This window comes from Homo sapiens, chromosome 9 (assembly GCF_000001405.40).
Source record: "Homo sapiens chromosome 9, GRCh38.p14 Primary Assembly".
Lineage (NCBI taxonomy): Eukaryota > Metazoa > Chordata > Mammalia > Primates > Hominidae > Homo > Homo sapiens.
This window is the reverse complement of record NC_000009.12, coordinates 72,151,656-72,171,632: the sequence shown is the minus strand read 5'-3', so window position 1 is coordinate 72,171,632 and position 19,977 is coordinate 72,151,656. Positions and strand designations below refer to the sequence as shown.

At 41.4% G+C, this 19,977-nt stretch overlaps 1 protein-coding gene across 36 annotated transcripts in view; it reads right to left on the bottom strand.

Moving 5' to 3' along the window:
* Nucleotides 1–19,977, bottom strand: part of GDA (guanine deaminase) — a 145,262-nt gene that overhangs the window by 88,237 nt on the left and 37,048 nt on the right. The window contains exons 2-3 of one of the 36 annotated variants that reach the window (XM_047424102.1): nucleotides 12,620–12,813; nucleotides 9,382–9,596 (exon numbers count right to left, since the gene is read on the bottom strand). The exons of 34 other annotated variants lie outside the window; for them this stretch is intronic. In XM_047424102.1, coding sequence (XP_047280058.1) covers nucleotides 9,382–9,384 — 3 coding nt within the window. In that variant the 5' untranslated portion in view covers nucleotides 9,385–9,596; nucleotides 12,620–12,813. The remainder of the gene's footprint in view (nucleotides 1–9,381; nucleotides 9,597–12,619; nucleotides 12,814–19,977) is intronic. One more of the 36 variants, XM_011519218.3, reaches the window with a different exon arrangement.

Sequence of the window (19,977 nt, the reverse complement as noted above, 5' to 3'; positions counted from 1 at the left end):
AACAATAAACCCACACAAAATGCATGGTGGCCCCAATGGTCACTATCTCTGAACAGGAAAAAAAAAATGTTTTCTGGAGGATCACATCTTTAATTTCAGCCTCCAAATTTTCCCAGGTTAAGATTAACCAAAATTGAACCCATAAAAAATAGGTCACCAAAATCAAAAGGAACAAACCATCCCAGGTAAAGGCTAGCAGAAGCTACAAAGTCCAGATTTAGAATCTCAAGGAGTCTAGATGATCTGATACGAAGTATACACAAATATACATGGTATGCTTAAAGAAATAAAGAATGGAATCATAAAATGGAATAAGCAACAAGAGACAATCAAAAATGATCAGGCAAATTTGAAAAAGAACTAAGTGGAACTTAAGGAATTAAAATTATAGTTGTTGCTATAGCAAGGTCAACAGATGGAATATACAATAGATTTGACAAGATTAACAGATGGAATATACAATAGCCGGAGAAAGTATATATGAACTATAAGAGAGCTGAAAAAAATGACCCAGAGCACGGTGGATGGTGGCTCACGCCTGTAATCCCAGCACTTTGGGAGGCTGAAGCGGGAGGACTGCCAGAGCTCAGGTGTTTGAGACCAGCCTGGGCAATGTGGCAAAACCCAGTCACTAAAAAATATACAAAAATTAGCTAGGCATGGTGGTGCACGCCTGTAGTCCCAGGTACTTGGGAGGCTGAGGTGGGAGGATCACTTGTGCCCCAGGGGATTGAGGCTGCAGTGAACTATGATCGCGCCACTGCACTACAGCCAAGGTGACAGAGCGAGGGCCTATCTCAACAACAACAACAATAATAGTAATTCATTGGCCTCACTGGATCTCATGGGTAGAGAGAAAAGGCGCCTTCATCTTTGTGGCCCCTATCACCTATCATGGGCCGGTACACAGCAAGCACTCCTTAAAAGTTTGCTAACTTGTAGCTCTTGCTGATTTGCTCATGGGAAAACAAAAGAAGAGCTCTAAAATGCAAAGGTTATCAGGAGACATATATTTGAAATGGCTGGTAAGGAAATAGTAAGCCTCCCCATATCCATTTTACGAATGAGGGAGACAGGCCCACTGACAAAGGATACTGACTAGCCCATGATCACACAACTCTCTGAGTGATAGAATCCCTTTTATATAGCTCAGCGATCCCGGCTTGTGCCCAAATATATTTTTCACATTATTTAACTTGTAAAATCCACAAAAATCTAGTTATGTGCTAAGAAAGATCTATACTGGTATGAAGACAGCTATGAGCTTTATTTTTCTCTTTGTCTATATATACATTCACTGCTTCTTGCTGTATCTTTTATATAGAACTGGGAGAGCCATTTTTGCCAAGCAGGATTCTATCTTTAAAAGTAATATGCACAAGTGCCCCAGAAGCTACCGCACTTGGTTCATTCCAAGAGCTCAGGAATAATTATGTGTTTTCATAAGCACAGCATTCATTAATCAAATCTGCGGGTCTAATTCAACTTTACTGTTGTATTTTTACGGCAACCAGAAAATGATCTTCTTTGTCATATCCCGTAATATTAAAGGGGAAAAATCTTTATGCCCCATTGTGTTTGTTTAATTTACAAGTTGTCTCTCTTCATTGCATTTGGTCACTGGGACACAGATGTATGGAATAGAGAGAACACCTCCTCCTGGACGCTTAGATACAGAGGACCATTATCTGTCCTCAGAGCTGAAGGATGCATTTAATTTCATTTTTTGTCTGTCATATATGGTGCAATTGAAAACTTCTTTGCTTCAGTTTTCCTTCTGACACATTAATTACAAAACCATTCCCAGTTCCCCTGGAAAACCAAATGTTTTATAATTTCTAATTCTAGTGTGAGCTCATTAGCTTGTTTGTTATCAGATTGACTGCATATAGGAAGTTGGATGATAACAGAAACGCAAAATGTTGGTCCAGTTTGTTTCTGCCCAACAGAACTTCCAAGACTTTGTGCCTGCAATTTGAGAGAGCAATTTGAGAGTCGCACCAGGATATTTAGTCCACAGTTTGATTTACAAAGCCTACTTACAAAATTTATACGAACCTGCAAAGAAATTAGAGTGGACATGGAGAAAGCATGCATTCAGAGTAGCCACATTAAGTTAGATCATGGCTCTATTTCCAAAAGAATAGATTTAAAAAATAAAATCCAAGTCCAGTAAGAAATATTTTGTGTGACTTGACACTCCTCCCTCCTTGTTTATCTATGTCCTCTTCACAGTGGCTCAGAAATAGACTTGGCATTAGGTTTCACATGATCAGCACATTGTGAGCTTTATTTACTTAATTCAACAAGCCTAACTCCTGAAACTAACAAAAGAAACTCAGAACAAGCCCACCTACTTGCCTTGCAAATTCCTCTCCTGTATAAAGATGCTAGCCATTCATCAATTACTAGTCAGCTTTCCCCCACTTCCCAAAACCAATATCTATTTCACCTGCTTCTAAAGCCCTGACATGAAACAATGTAATAGTGTCAATGAAAACTGCTTAAGAATTAGCAATTTGGCAGTCTTGGAAGGGTTTAGAAAGTTTGCTAACAAATTACCAGAATCCCTTAGGAGTTTGCCGTGGCAAGACAAAAAGCCAAAAGCAAAAACAAACAACAAGCTTGTAACAGAGGCTGGTGACTATATCTTGAGGCTTTCATGTCTTCCCACATATCTGAATAGCAGTATAGCATTTAATTTATTCCATATGAGAGCTGTTAAATGTAAAGTCAGACCATGTGGATTATAAATCATAACTCTACCAGTAACCAGCTATGTGACCTTCAACAAGGCACTCAAACTGTTGGTGACACAGTTTCCTCATCTGAAAAATAGAGATAAAGAATAGTTAATTTATAGGGTTGTTGCAATGATTAAATGAGTTAATATATGTAAAAGATTTAGAGCAGTGCCTGGCACATAGTAAGTGCTATACATTCTTCATTTGTTTGTTTGAAGACAGGGTATCAGCACTTTGGGAGGCCAAGGTGGGCAGATCACTTAAAGCCAGGAGACTGAGACCAGCCTGGCCAACATGGCAAAACCAACTCTACTAAAAATACAAAAATTAGCTGGGCATGGTGGTGCATGCCTGTAATCCCAGCTACTTGGGTGGTTGAGACACAAGAATCATTTGAACCTGGAAGGAAGAGGTTGCAGTGAGCTGAGATCGTATCACTGCACTCCAGCCTCAGCAAGAGAGCGAGACTCTATCTCAAAAAAAAAAAAAAAAAAAAAAGACAAAGTCTCAGTGTGTTGCCCAGTTTGGAGTGCAGTGGTGCAATCACAATTCACTGCAGCTTCCTGGGCTCAAGCTGTACTCTACCTAAGCCTCCTGCGTAGCTGGGACCACAGGCACGCACCACTATGCCCAGCTCGTGTTTTTTTGTTTGTTTTGTACAGAGGGATCTCCCTGTGTTGCCCAGGCTGGTCTCAAACTCCTGGGCTCAAGTGATCCTCCTGCTTTGGCCTCCCAATCTGCTGGGATTACAGACACAAGCTACCTCACCCTGCCCAATCTTTTCCTTTTATTAGAAATAATCATTTCCTTATTTAGCCATTCCTCAAATATATGCTGAGCACATTCTATCTCCCAGGTGATGTACCCCAGCACTAGGGAATGATGTGAGTAAGACCTAATCCCTGCTCTCAGGGAGCTTATAGCCTATGGCAGCAGCAACACTAGTAAAAATTTACTACTTTGATAGGTGCACATCTTCCTTTGGTCAGCAATTTTCTCAAAACCACTGTAACATTTTACTAAAATGCTAAGCTTTGATTGTTTTTCAACTACTTCTTGAGAGTTTCTGCATGTATGATAAGGGCAAGACATTACACTGAGGTATTGATGCTGATGAGCAGCAAGGCTCACTGGCTGGTGAAGGGATACTGATTAGCACACCAATGTGCTGCTCTTGAACACACACCTCCACAAAATTACAAATTATCTTCCAGGTTCATTTGTGAAAGTTAGACCTGTACATTCTGAGGGCCTGTGAGAGGCTGTATGCCAATCACACATTGCAGGCAGAGGCTGGGCGCAGAAAAACCAGTGGTGGACAGAAAGTTGCTTAAGCTATGCTTCTTAGACCACTTTTTGCCATGTTCAGAAATGCAGCATTTCAACTGATAACAATTCAAGGAATCCTTTATTTCTTAAATGTATGCTCATCAAACTGCTAAGGGTTCAGGTAAATATATAAGAAGTTGTTACCGAAACACCACTGAGACAACGATTATTGGCAAGGAAGAAGGCTTTAATCAGGTGCTGCAGCTAAGGAGATGGGAGATCAGTCTCAAATCTATCTCCCTGATGGACTAAAATGAGGGGTTTATATAGCAGGGAAGAAAGGTATGAGAAAACAGGAACTCCAGAGGGGTTAAGGAAGCAATCATGATGAATGAGAGGCCTGGCATTTCATTGTCTGGATGCAATATCTGGTTAGTTTCAGTTCTTTGATACTTTTGAGAGGCCTGGGGGTCATTTCCTAAACAAGGAACTCAAATAAAACAAATGTAAGTTTCAGGCTTTAAGACCAAAAGCGTCAATTTCTATGTTTATCCAAAAACAAACAAACAAACAGAACAACAACAACAACAAAAACCTGTCTATGGAACTATTGGGTCAGTTTCAAAATCATCTTTGCCTGTCAAGAATTTAGTTTCTGGTAGAGAAAATAAAATTTACTGCCTATGAAAAATCGAGAACAATGCACAATGATATGTTTCTAAGCACCAAATTGGCATTATGGACTGATCTATGAAAACTCTGAGAAAAAGGAAATTGGTGAGGACAGAATAACCAAGGTGTTTCTAGAGGAAATGATGAGTATGGTAAATATAGGCGAGAAAAGAGAGTAAGGGCATTAAGAGTGTGAACAAAAAGGTGGAGAAGTCAAAAGACATGAACAAATATAAATTGATACATAAGTTTATATTGGCACAATTACATTTTTAAGTTTCTTTACTTATAAATAATATATTACATATTTATAGGGTACATGTGATATTTGTTACATGCATAGAATATGTAATGATCAAGTCAGGGTATTTGATCCCTCATCTTGAGTATTTATTATTTCTATGTGTTGGGAACATTTCAAGTTCTGTCTTCTAGCTACTTTGAAATGTAGAATACGTTGTTGATAACTTCTATCTAGCTGCCCTTCTACCCACTGACTAACCTCTCTTCATTCCCCCACCCCCACCCCACCCACACATCCTTCCCAGTCTCTGGTATCTATCATTCTGCTTTCTATCTCCATAAGATCAACTTTTTCAACTCCTGCATATGAGTGAGGACACTGGCGTAACTGTTAAATCATTTCCTTTCCAAATCTTGTTCCCTTATTGTCTTCTCACTTTCTCTATCTGCTCAATGATTTGGCACTTTTGAAACATCCAATCCTGTCTAGATCACAGGGATAGTTTTCCTTCTAATTGCAACTGAAATAAATCTAGCATAAATCTTATTTTTCTCATTCCCACTTGATTGTCAGGACAGTGAAAAACAAATGATTATACAAGCCTCCATTCATACATACAAAGGTTGTATGTGAGTCACCTATGTGTTGTTTTTCTCAACTAGATTAAATCTTCATTGTACAGTCATTCACCCAGAAGGGAAGAACAGAAGGAGGGGTAAGATTTTCTCTCTTCCCTTGGGGAAGGGGGAAATCTTAAAATGCTTAACTAGGAACAAGCCGCATTTTTTGTTGTTTTTTTTTTTTTTGAGACAGAGTCTTGCTCTGTCACCCAGGCTGGAGTGCAATGGCATGATCTCAGCTCACTGCAACCTCCACCTCCCGGATTCGAGCAGTTCTCCCCCCTCAGCCTCCCAAGTAGCTGGGATTACAGGCACCTGCCATCATGCCCGGCTAATTTTTGTATTTTTAGTAGAGACGGGGTTTCACCATGTTGGCCAGGCTGGTCTTGAACTCCTGATCTCCGATGATCCGCCCACCTCGGCCTCCCACAGTGCTGGGATTACAGGCATCAGACACCATGCCCAACCCAAATTGCATTTTAAATTTTATTTTTATTTTCTTTTTAGCCATTCCCTACACATACCTCACATACCAACCGCATTTTTAAACAGAGAAAACATCTGCTTCTATCGTCTTACCTGGTTTTGTTTGTTTTCATTTCAAACAACCTCACATTTATAGGAAAATAATGCCTTACTTGCTTGACGTTAATAAAATGAAGTGTTTCACTGCTGGTATCCTGTACTTCCAAACAAAAATACTGACTACCTACCAAGATTTCCAGTGACGCTGAAATGCTAGATTATATTTCTGAAATAAAATAGTAAAATGATTATTAAGAAGGCTGCAACTAACTCTAAGCTCTGACACATATATTTGCCAATGCTTTGGCATCCTTTGAAATTAAATATTTGTAAATGGGCAACAGCAGCATGCTTTCTTAACTTTTGAAACGTCCTTGGAAAGAAGTTATTCACCATACAATACAGGAAGGCTGGGAAAAATCATACAAATACAGGAATATGAGCACAAGTGAATTGTGATTCAGTAGATTGAATGTGCACTTAAGTCACCTGAAATTTAAAGATTCACAGAAACCTAAGCAAAGTATTTGAAGACCAGAGGACAGCCAGAGCATTTTTTTTTTTTTTTTGAGATGGAGTCTTGCTCTGTAGCCCAGGCTGGAGTGCAGTGGCTGGATCTTGGCTCACTGCAAGCTCCGCCTCCCGGTTTCACGCCATTCTCCTGCCTCAGCCTCCAAAGTAGCTGGGACTACAGGCGCCCGCCACCACGCCCAGCTAATTTTTTTTTTTTTGTATTTTTAGTAGAGACAGGGTTTCACCATGTTAGCCAGGATGGTCTCGATCTCCTGACCTCATGATCTGCCTGACTCAGCCTCCCAAAGTGCTGGGATTACAGGCGTGAGCCACTGTGCCCGGCCCAGCCAGAGCATTTTTTCCTCAGAATGCTACAAATGCAAATGTTTGTATAAAAGTCCTCTGATAACTTAAGCAGTGGGAATAACAGGTATGTAACTTATTTACATTTTATTGCTGTTGGAAGCAATTATTTTTCTCATATGATAAAACACTACACATTTTTTTAATCTCAAAAGAGTTGTCTGTGATTACTGTCTGCATGTCCTTATCTTCCAATCATTCCAAAACCTAACCCAAGCTGATTGCCACCCTCTCCCTGTGCTGAAATAAGCTTCCTAGGGTCAACAGTTGCCTGAGGTTTCTAAATCCACTGGACATTTTTCCAGTGTTGTTCTTATGTCTCAGTAACATGACACCTGCACTGCTCCCTCCATCTTGAAGTATCCCCATCTCTTGCCTTCTATGACAATACCCTCCCGTTGTCTTCCTCTGATATTTGGATTGTCCTCATCCTACTCATTCTCTTTAACTCTAAACTCAACAAGAGGAATTAGTCTAGTTCCTGTTGTCTTCTCAACCTTTACTCTACATTTTATATCGCCCGTTCAGATATCTCCTCTGAGCTCCAGACCAGCAAGTCAACATCTGCTTCAAATCTCCATGTAGATGTCACAAAAGCATCTCAACTCAGCATGACCAAAGCAGACCTCTGGATCCACCCTCCCTGGCTGGACCTCTTCTTCTCTTCCCTATGTGAAAGTTAATCAACAAATGTGTCATTCTTGTCATACCCAACTAAAACAGAGAGGTCAGGAGTAAAAGCACTCAGGGAACAAAACATTGCTCCAAGAACGTAATTCTATGCAAGCCTGGCTGCTGAAACTGCCTCCTGCACCTGAAACTGCCTCCTGCACCTGAAACAGTTTTATCTAACAGCTGCTGAAACAATCTCCTGTGACTTTAAGAATAGTTGGCCGGGCATGGTGGCTCACGCCTGTAATCCCAGCACTTTGGGAGGCCCACACAGGTGGATCACAAGGTCAGGAGATGGAGACCATCCTGGCTAATACGGTGAAACCCCATCTCTACCAAAAATACAAAAAATTAGCCAGGCATGGTGGCGGGCACCTGTAGTCCCAGCTACTGGGGAGGCTGAGGCAGGAGAATGGCGTGAACCCGGGAGGTGGAGCTTGCAGTGAGCCGAGATCGTGCCACTGCACTCCAGCCTGAGCAACAGAGCAAGACTCAGTCCAAAAAAAAAAAAAAGAATAATTTTACCTGTTACTGTCACTTACCAATCAAAACTTGCCAGCTCCCTCAAACCTTACTAATGCCAATGAACTTTCTCAAAGAGCAATATGTAACATTTCTCTTTTTTATAAAACTTCTTTCTCTTTGTTCATGGGACATACTGAAGGCCAGTCGGTCTGTGTGCATGCCCCCCAAATTGCAATTTTTCTTCCCAAATAAAATGTTTTCATTTCAGAGATTTGTCTCTATGTTTTATTTGACTTCAAAAACTCAGTGACAGCCACCATATCCATCCAGTTGTACAAGCCTAAAACCCAGGAAAGCTCTTCCCTTTCCTCTGTACCCATTTTTGTCATCAAATCCCATTGATTTACCTCCTTCTCATCTCACAGAGCTCCCTGTTTCTCTCCATGTCTATCACCATCTACCTGTCTCTTTTGTGGTCCACTGCAGTCATTTTCTAACTCATCTCTTCCAGCAAGTCTTGCTCTGCTCCATTCTGCTCCTTACTCTGAAATTATTTTTAATATATTCTTTAGAAGTAAATCTGACCTATGTCAGGGCGCATTGGCTCACGCCTGTAATCCCAGCACTTTGGGAGGCCGAGGCGGGCGGATCACGAGGTCAGGAGATCGAGACCATCCTGGCTAGCACGGTGAAACCCTGTCTCTACTAAAAATACAAAAAATTAGCTGGTTGTGGTGGCGGGCGCCTGTAGTCCCAGCTACTGGGGAGGCTGAGGCAGGAGAATGGCGTGAACCCGGGAGGCGGAGCTTGCAGTAAGCCGAGACCACGCCACCGCACTCCAGCCTGGGCAACAGAGCAAGATTCTGTCTCAAAAAAAAAAAAAAATTGTAAATCTGACCTATCTTCCTCTGACACCCTTCGTAGGCTTTCCATGGCTCTTGGGCTAACGGGAATGACTATGTTTCTCTCTGCCCTCATCTAGTTCCACCACCTCCTCCTCCTCCATTCTTTGCCACCTGGTTCCTGGTTCCTCCTCCCCTCTGGGTCTTTGCATAGGCCTTTCCCCTCCCTCTCTCTGCCTAGTTAATTCCCATTTAACCTTCAGACTCAGCTCCAACATGACTTCTTTGGGGTTACATTCTTGAAGCATCTCCTCAAAATAAGCCAAGTCCTCTGATTTGCATCTCCAGAGCACTCTGCATTTTTTCCTTTTAGAAACTGTATACTGATCCATACTAATTTGATTATTGACTCCGAGTGCAAATAAGGCAGGAACCGCATCTCTTTTGCTTACCATTTTATCCCTAAGACCTTGAGATCCTTGCTCTCCATCAGCTATTGTCAGCTCTCATGAGCTCCAAGCATAGTAGCACCACAGACCATTGAGTCCACGCTCTGCAGGAAGGTGAGGAGGCACAAGTGTCCCCACTCATCTAGGAACCAGGAATGGCTTCTGTGTTTTGCATTTCCAAAAAGGGTTAAAGGGTACCTGAGACCACTCTACACAGGCTGAAAGGAAACAATTTATAGGTTAAATAGCTCAGGAGAAAAACTCTGCATCAGTGTGTGGAAGTCACCAACGATGTTACTTCTTGTGTTGCATCTTCAAGCACATTGGCTACAACCATCTGAGAATGTTGATTAACTATTTCTTGTCTACTCTGTGAAGAGCATATACCCATTCTATTCATTCTTTCATTTAAAAGCATGCATTGAATGCTAATTTTGTGCAAAAGCTCTGTGTAAAGTACTATGATGGATAGGCGATGGATAACAAGAGCTATTGCTTATGGAGGGTCTACCATGTTCCAGGACTGTAAATTGTAAGTGGCATTTACAAGCAACATTTCAAGTAAATTACCATCTTATGAAAAAGCAAACACTTAATAAACCATAATACAAAACCAAAAGAAGCAAGCAGGCCTTTATAATCTACATTATTGCAAGTCCTTAACATAGTCAGAGTTAAAGGCCTTTGAGAACTTCATGAGGTCTCAGAATTCTAATTAAAATGTACTCTTCTAGGGTTCTTAATTACTCACCAGGACATAAAACTAATTACAGCTCCCAGTAACCACATACATTGGCATCTAGATTAGAAAAAACCAGAGTTCTTATTCAAACAACTGGTTATTTGGAAGATAACCTGGTTATCCTGTGGTGAAAAAAATCCAAGCACCAGTTATTGAAGAAATATTCATCAGAGTGCCCACCATGTGTTAAGTGCTGTCAACACAAAGGTGATAAAGTTGTGAACCTGCCTTCAAGCTCAGGTTTTGGGGAGACTCATGAGATCAAGTAAGAGTTGTAAGGAGGCACTGAGTAGAAAGTAGGACACAGGCCGGGGCGGTGGCTCACGCCTATAATCCCAGCACTTTGGGAGGCCGAGGTGGGCAGATCACCTGAGGTCAGGAGTTTGAGACTGGCCTGGCCAACATGGTGAAATCCTGTCTCTACTAAAAATACAAAAAAAAAAAAAAAATTAGTGGCAAACACCTGTAGTCCCAGCTACTTGAGAGGTGGCGGGTGGAGAATTGCTTGAACTTGGGAAGCGGAGATTGCAGTGAGCCAAGATTGTACCACTGCACTCTGCCTGTGGAAGGAAGGCAGGAAGCTATGTCAGCAATGACCTCATTGAGGAGGTAACACCTAAATTTAGTCTTGAAATGTGTATCCATCCAGCGAATGGAAGGTGAAAAAGGAGCATGGACAAAGACACAAAGGAATTTAACAACGTGGAAGGTTGGGCAAACAGTCAGCAAGGCCAGGCCTGGGTTTATCACACGGTTAGGCAATGGGAAACCATACAAAGATTTTTTTTAACCAGCTGCTTTTTTAAACATGTGCATGAAATATTTATAGCAGCACTGCTGACAAATAGCCAAAGGGCAGAAACAACTCAAATGTCCATCAACTGATGAAAGGATAAACAAAATGTGGTATATCTACACAATGGACTATTATTCAGCCATAAAAAGGAATGAATTGTGACACATGCCACAACATGGATGAGCTTTAAAAACATTATGCTAAGTCTAAAAAGCCAGACACAAAAGGTTATGTATTATATGTGTCCATCTATCCGAAATATCCAGAATAGGCAAGTGGATAGAGAAAGCAGATTAGTGATTGTTGCAGAGGTGAAGAGAGGAAATAAGGAGTGACTGCTTAATGGGCAATGAGTTTCCCTTTGGGGTGATGAATATATATATATATTTGTTTTGTTTTATTTTGTTTGAGACAGAGTCTCGTTCTGTTGCCCAGGCTGGAGTGCAGTAGCGCTATCTCGGCTCACTGCAAGCTCCGCCTCCCGGGTTTCGGCCATTCTCCTGCCTCAGCTTCCGAGTAGCTAGGACTACAGGCGCCCGCCACCATGCCCAGCTAATTTTTTTTCATATTTTCTTGTTTTTAGTAGAGACGGGGTTTTACCGTGTTGGCCAGGATGGTCTCGATCTCCTGACCTCATGATCCGCCCGCCTCGGCCTCCGAAAGTGCTGGGATTATAGGCATGAGCCACCGCGCCCGGCTGATGAATATATTCTTGAACTAGATCATGGTCAGTGTGGTGGTAGTTGTACAATATTCTGAATACAATAAATGCCACTGAATCATATACTTTAAAATGGTGAATTTTAAGTTATGCATTTTTTACTGCAATTAAGAAAAAGAATACAAATTTTAAAATAAAATAAATTGGTTTTAAATTATAAAAGCAAGACAAAAATTTTAAAAACTAGCAATACAAAAATAAAAATTATCCTCCATAGCTCCAAATCTCCATTCCCAATCTACAAAAGTAATTATTTAAGTTTTTATTTTAATATCTTCTTCCAGAACTGTGTTTTGTTGATGAGTGTATAAGGGTGTGCATGTGTGAGGGTGGGGAATGTATGATTATGATGCACTTTATTTTTCCATTTAAGCTTCTGGAGAATCTTGGAATTTTAAAATTCTTATATCATTATATGTAAGTTTAGAATAACTCACTTTAAATTATAATTACCTTGTGATTGCTTTGGCCTTCAATTTTTTTTTAATTCATGAATCAATGGGCTGTAAATAAACTCATATTGACACAGTTGGGTTTTAAGGTGGGGTTTGCTGAGAAAGGTTTGTTCTATCACTCATTTTTTTTTCTCTTTTTCTTTTTTTGAGACGGAGTCTCACTCTGTCACCCAGGCTGGAGTGCAGTGGCACAATTTCGGCTCACTGCAACCTCCACCTCCTGGTTTCAAGCAGTTCTTCCCCCTCAGCCTCCTGAGTAGCTGGGATTACAGGCACCTGCCATCATGCCTGGCTAATTTTTGTATTTTTAGTAGAGACGGGGTTTCACCATGTTGGCCAGGCTGGTCTTGAACTCCTGAGCTTGTGATCTGCCTGCCTCGTTTTTGTATTACACATCACATTCAACACACTTTACTGACCACCTACTTTGTGCTAAAACAACATGAAATGTTGAAGGGGCCTTAGGACAATAGAGTTTTGGCCCTCTCCATGACAGAAGACAGCAGAGACTCCTGGAGAGCACGGACCTTGGACATCAGACAGGCATGGCTCTGAGTCTTGCCTTTGCCACTTATTTGCTGTGACTGCAGCCAAGTAACTCTCCGAGCCTCCGTTTCCTCATTTGTAAAGTAGAGATGATGATGATGATGATGATGATGATGATGATGGTGTCCTTACCTTGTCTCAAGGTTGTTGATTTGTAAGGGATTTGGCAGACTGTCTGAAATACAGTATGACTTAGTAAGTGTTACCTTTTCTCCAGTTCATCTCTCTTTTTCCAAAAACTTTAAATCATTTCAGTGAGTGAGAACATTCTATAAAGCTAAGTATAATCAAAGGCAAATTGGAATAACTACTTCAGAGAAAGAAAAATAATAACAACACACTATCTCACTTGCCTCACAACTCTATCAAGGTGCTATTAATCCACATTTTTTTTTTTTTTGGAGACGGAGTTTCGCTCTTGTTGCCCAGGCTGGAGTGCAGTGGCATGATCTCAGCTCACTGCAAGCTCTGCCTCCCGGGTTCAAGGGATTCTCCTGCCTCAGCCTCCCGAGTAGCTGGGACTATAGGCGCCTGCCACCACACCCAGCTAATTTTTTGTATTTTTAGTAGAGATGGAGTTTCACCATGTTAGCCAGGATGGTCTCGATCTCCTGACCTCGTGATGAGCCCACCTCGGCCTCCCAAAGTGCTAGGATTACAGGTGCGGGCCACTGTACCCAGCCTTAATCCACATTTTTAAATGAGGATGCTGAGGTTCAGCTATGTCAGAAAATTTGTCCTAGTAAGTAGCAGAGTTTTGATTTGAATTCACATAATCTGACTCTAGAAACCATGTTCTTAACTACCTGTAAAATACTGATTTGAAATATATGAAAAATTTTATGGAAGAACAGAGGAAGGGGCAATTTATTTCAACTTGGGAATAAAGCCTTTGTGAAAGCCTTTGTGAAAAAGAGAAGATCAGAGCTGGGCCTTAAAGGAAGAGCAAGATTTCATTTTGATAGAAGTAAAATGGAAATGGGGATATAAAAAGGAGGACTATTCCAGGCAAAGAAATTGGTGCCAACAATGTGGAGGCATAAAAGGACATGATGTGCTGGAAAACAGGGAGAAATTTGCATGGATAGACATCCCTTGGCTCATGGATACAATATGGTGTAAATCAGTCATGGTAATCCTATTCCCACTTGCCAGACAGATAAATGAAGCAACAGAAAGAATTAGAGAACAGGTTGGGGCCAAATAATGTCATGCCTAGAACATCTTCCAGGACATTTGAAACTTAGAGGCAATAGTGAGCCATAGATGGTTATAGAAGAGTAGATACATGATACTACCCATGGTCCAAGAAAAGAGTTTTCAGTAATGTGGGGGAAATACTAGAATGAGAGAAAACAGTTAAGGGTCTCCTGTTATATTTTAGCTCAGAGACACTAAAGGGTAGATGGGGGCAATGGAAGTGAATATGCACACAGAAATCCCAGAGGAAAATTGGCTGGGCTTGACTATTGATATGGGTGCCTGGAAAGGCCAGTAAGGAGAAGAAGGAGAAGGTAGTTATTCTTGTAAAGTGTAAAATATTGTTCATTGAAAAGCAGTGTAGTAATGAGGGTGCATTGGGCTGCAATGAACAGTACCCAACTAACAGAGATTTAGACAATAAAGACATTTCATATCTCACAAAAGAAGTCTGGGCTGGCTACCGTGGCTCACGCCTGTAATCCCAACACTTTGGGAGGCCAAGGTGGGTGGATCACCTGAGGTCAGGAGTTCAAGACCAGCCTGCCCAACATGGCGAAACCCCATCTCTACTAAAAATACAAAAAATTAGCTGGCCATGGTGGTGAGTGCCCGTAATCCCACCTCCTCGGGAGGCTGAGGCAGGAGAATCGCTTGAACCCAGGAGGCGGATGTTGCAGTGAGCTAAGATCGCGCCACTGCACCCCAGCCTAGGCAACAAGAGTGAAACTCCATCTCAAAAAAAAAAAAAAAAAAAAAAAAAAGGAAGTCTAGAAGTCTGATAGTAGACAGTTCCAGGTAGGGGTAGTTCAACTGCTCAGTGATGTTAGAAAATGGGATGGTGTCTCTGAAATCCCCTTAACCTTTTCCTCACAGTCTCACATGGTGGCAGCAGCAGTTCCAAGTATCTTTTCTTCATATGAGAGTATCCAAAAAAGGCAGGGCTTCTCTTCCCACATCCTAGAAGCTTCTGAGCAAACTTCCTGTATGTCAGAATATTATCACTAGTCACCCTCAGCTACCAGGAAGCTGGAAGAATAAGTATCTGATAAATGGAGATAGGATTACCATGACTGGCTTACACCATGATGTATCCACAGGCTGAGTCTACCATGGACTGATCAAATTCAGGTGTTAATAAGGAAAAAGAGGTCATGACTGCTGAGTGGGTAACCAACAGTGTTTGCCATGAGCATTCTGAACAAGCAATCAGCCTTCTAGAAAATGGGAATTTGCAAGATGATCTTGTAATAATTGGGAGTGAAAGCATCTTTCTGATGAAAGCCAAGCTCCTATTCAGCAGCCTCAGAAGGAAGGGATTAGCCCAGTTTCCTTTCTCAGGACCAACAGCATATTTTGAGTTGCTGAGCTTGGCAGGAAGTGGAGGAAAGGATGATACACAATCACTAGGATTTGTGATTTAGACTGAGAGAACTTCTGGTAAAGTAGCCTCAGGTGAGAAAGAACTCTTCCTCCTCCCAGCAGTCTTCAGAACTGAAGAACATTGGGTCACTCTTTTCACCAGGGCTATATAATCCTCTTTTGCATGTTCCAGTCCTAAAAGGTCCAATTCAGCTACTACTTCCTTCAAGAAGCTTTTCCTATCACTGGTCAACTTGTGCCCCACTGTACTATTTACACACATTTACATACATTTTGCGATCACTCTTGATGCACTTACCTTCCAACCTTACATATGTAAGCTATCATCAAATCCAGTCAACTTGATCTAAATAGCTACTGATTCTATCCACCTCTCCATCTGCATTACTGACAATAACCGCTGAAGTCTAATGGACATGTACTACATGCCAGGCATTATTCTATATATTTTACACTTACTAATCCATTTTATCCTTTCAACAACCCTATTAGGTAGACCATAGTAATTATTTTATGCATAAAGAAATTTGGAGATACAAATGGTAAGGAACTTGATCAAATTCACATAGGTAATAAGTGATAGAGGTACTCTTAGGAGTTCATATCTCAGTTGATAACTACACTGCCTCTCTCATCTAAACCACATTCCATTTTACCTAAATACTGCAACAGGCTCCTATCTGACCTCCTTGCCTGCACTCAACTTCTCTTCAATGCATTTATCCTGAAGTTAGACCTTTATAACCACAAAATATAATCATGACACAATCCCACCATCCCCGATGCCCTCCATAACATAGCCCTGCCTACCTGTCCTGCCTTATCCTGTGTTAGCCTTCTCCTCAACCTTTGGACTCTGACTACCTTGACTGTTTCATTCCTTCCTACCCCAGGACCTTTGCACAGGCAGTCACAGGCAGTTCTCTCAACCTAGAAGGCTCTTCTTTACTTCCAATGCTGTCCACCTTACCTATTGGTATGGTTTGGATGTGCCTCCATCCAAATCTCATCTTGAATTGTACTCCCCTAATTCCCACATGTTGTGGGAGGAACCCAGTGGGCGATAACTTGAATCATGGGGGCAGTTTCCCCCATACTGTTCTCATGGTAGTGAATAAGTCTCACGAGATCTGATGGGTTTATCAGGAGTTTCCGCTTTTTCATCTTCCTCATTCTCTCTTGCTGCCGCCATGTAAGAAGTGTCTTTCACCTCCTGCCATGATTCTGAGGCTCCCCAGTCATGTGGAACTGTAAGTCCAATTAAACCTCTTTTTCTTCCCAGTCTCAGGTTGTTTTTGTCACCAATGTGAAAATTGACTAATATACCTACTTAACTTCTCATTGTTCACATCGCAAGTTTGATGTCACTTCACGCTAGGGAAAGCCTTCCCCTAACTAGTTCAAGTTCTGATAGGTCATGGCAGATTCTGTTAATTTATTACTAGATCATCAGTTTCAAGAGGGCAGGGCAGTATTTGCATACTTTGTTCATCAATTTATCTCCGGTGAAAACCCCAGTGTTTGGCTCAGGAATGAGTCACTTTTATTACAGCTACAAGTCTTAGCTCCCGTGCCAAAGTGCAGATTCTTTGAGGTCCAGGACTGTGCCCTAGAGAAGCAGTCAGCGACAGTAAAGAGAACATGGCCTTTGCCCCATACTAATTCAAAATCCAGCTACACCACCACCGTATCTGAATGCATGACTTCTCAAGTCTCAACTTCCTCATCTGTTAGTGGAAATAATGACATTGTCAAGTCTAAAAGAGATACTAAAGATAGCTTGCTAGTGAATCTAGCACCAAATGCTTCTTGATCTTTCTTCCAGGGTGCATCTTTGGGTCCCAGGGGATCAATGACATAAGCAGTGAGAATAAAAAGCTAAGGTTCTGTGACCACCCCATACAGTTCATCACAGGCCGTGGCTTCCTTCTCTACCACTTGGCATGTCACCATGTGAAAACATGCAAAATATCACAGTGAGCAAGAGGTTAAGGATTTGCTAGGAGGCAAAGGGAATAGAATGAACATGGTACATGTTAAGTATCCACTAAGTGCCAGGCATTTTCATACATTATCTCATTTAATAAATAGCAAAAGGAAATCTGACTCTACAAATGAGGAAACGGAGGCTCAGGCAGGTTAGGTCTCACCTGTGGTCTCAGCACAGGTAAGTGGTAGAGACTCTGACCTGAACCCAAGTCTCTATTCCTCCATTGGACTTGCTCCTGCCACCCCAGGACACAACCTCAAAATGAATCTCTTCCTCACTCTTGTTTCTGGGTAAGTGTGCATTAAAAGGCCCAAGGCATGTTTATGCATCTTTACTGTCAACCTGACCCTGATGTATGTGGGAAGAATCAGGCAACTTAGTAATATTTGAGCATGCATTACCTCAAGATTAAATATTTGCAAATGAATTAAACATGTTAGAGTCTATATTTTTTTTTTATTATACTTTAAGTTTTAGGGTACATGTGCACAATGTGCAGGTTAGTTACATATGTATACATGTGCCATGCTGGTGTGCTGCACCCATTAACTCGTCATTTAGCATTAGGTATATCTCCTAATGCTATCCCTCCCCCCTCCCCCCACCCCACAACAGTCCCCAGAGTATGATGTTCCCCTTCCTGTGTCCATGTGTTCTCATTGTTCAATTTCCATCTATGAGTGAGAACATGCAGTGTTTGGTTTTTTGTCCTTGCGACAGTTTCCAATTTCATCCATGTCCCTACAAAGGACATGAACTCATCATTTTTTATGGCTGCATAGTATTCCATGGTGTATATGTGCCACATTTTCTTAATCCAGTCTATCATTGATGGACATTTGGGTTGGTTCCAAGTCTTTGCTATTGTGAATAGTGCCACAATAAACATACGTGTGCATGTGTCTTTATAGCAGCATGATTTATAGTCCTTTGGGTATATACCCAGTAATGGGATGGCTGGGTCAAATGGTATTTCTAGTTCTAGATCCCTGAGGAATCGCCACACTGACTTCCACAATGGTTGAACTAGTTTACAGTCCCACCAACAGTGTAAAAGTATTCCTATTTCTCCCCATCAAGCTACCAATGACTTTCTTCACAGAATTGGAAAAAACTACTTTAAAGTTCATATGGAACCAAAAAAGAGCCCGCATCACCAAGTCAATCCTAAGCCAAAAGAACAAAGCTGGAGGCATCACGCTACCTGACTTCAAACTATACTACAAGGCTACAGTAACCAAAACAGCATGGTACTGGTACCAAAACAGAGATATACATCAATGGAACAGAACAGAGCCCTCAGAAATAATGCCGCCTATCTACAACTATCTGATCTTTGACAAACCTGAGAAAAACAAGCAATGGGGAAAGGATTCCCTATTTAATAAATGGTGCTAGGAAAACTGGCTAGCCATATGTAGAAAGCTGAAACTGGATCCCTTCCTTACACCTTATGCAAAAATTAATTCAAGATGGATTAAAGACTTAAACGTTAGACCTAAAACCATAAAAACCCTAGAAGAAAACCTAGGCATTACCATTCAGGACATAGGCATGGGCAAGGACTTCATGTCTAAAACACCAAAAGCCATGGCAACAAAAGCCAAAATTGACAAATGGGATCTAATTAAACTAAAGAGCTTCTGCACAGCAAAAGAAACTACCATCAGAGTGAACAGGCAACCTACAAAATGGGAGAAAATTTTCACAACCTACTCATCTGACAAAGGGCTAATATCAAGAATCCACAATGAACTCAAACAAATTTACAAGAAAAAAACAAACAACCCCATCAAAAAGTGGGCAAAGGATATGAACAGACACTTCTCAAAAGAAGACATTTATGTAGCCAAAAGACACATGAAAAAATGCTCATCATCACTGGCCATCAGAGAAATGCAAATCAAAACCACAATGAGATATCAGCTCACACCAGTTAGAATGGCAATCATTAGAGTCTATATTCTTAAAAGCTACATGCTACTTGAGCAGAAAGTATAACTCTGTATTTTGCTTTATACCAAAAAGTTGGCTAGATAATTTCTTTTAATTAACCTGCTTTTGAATGAGCTTTAATTTAATGTATTAAGAGCAGTTAGTCATTGGCATTCTCTGGGCCTAAACGAAGTTATACAAAATAAGGAATAAAGTTTAAAAGCGAGACCAGAAGGACAGAGTAAGCTTTGTGCCCTCTCGCTGAGATTCTACCCCAGATCTAAACTTGCAATGGAGAAATAAGCTCCTGATACTTCACACAGCTTGTCCCATCACAGAAACTATGTGTTACAGTTATTCAAAATGTAATCCACCCGCTGCTATAATCCACCCGCTACCTGCGTCTGAATCTCCTGGGATGCTTGTTGGAATGCCACTTTCTGGGGCCTACCCCAGGTCTATAGATTCAGAGTCTCTGAGGATGATGCCCAGAAATCAGCATATTATCAAGCACCCCTAGATATTTCTGATTCATTGCAAGGTTTGAGCTCCTAAAAATTTAGGAGTAAAAATTTACAGATCATTGGCCGGCGCGGTGGCTCACGCCTGTAATCCCAGCACTTTGGGAGGCCGAGGCAGGGGGATCACGAGGTCAGGAGATCAAGACCATCCTGTTAACACATTGAAACCCCAACTCTACTTAAAATACAAAAAAATCAGTGGGGCGTGGTGGCGCCTGTAGTCCCAGCTACTCGGGAGGCTGAGGCAGGAGAATGGCATGAACCCGGGAGGCAGAGCTTGCAGTGAGCCAAGATCAAGCCACTACACTCC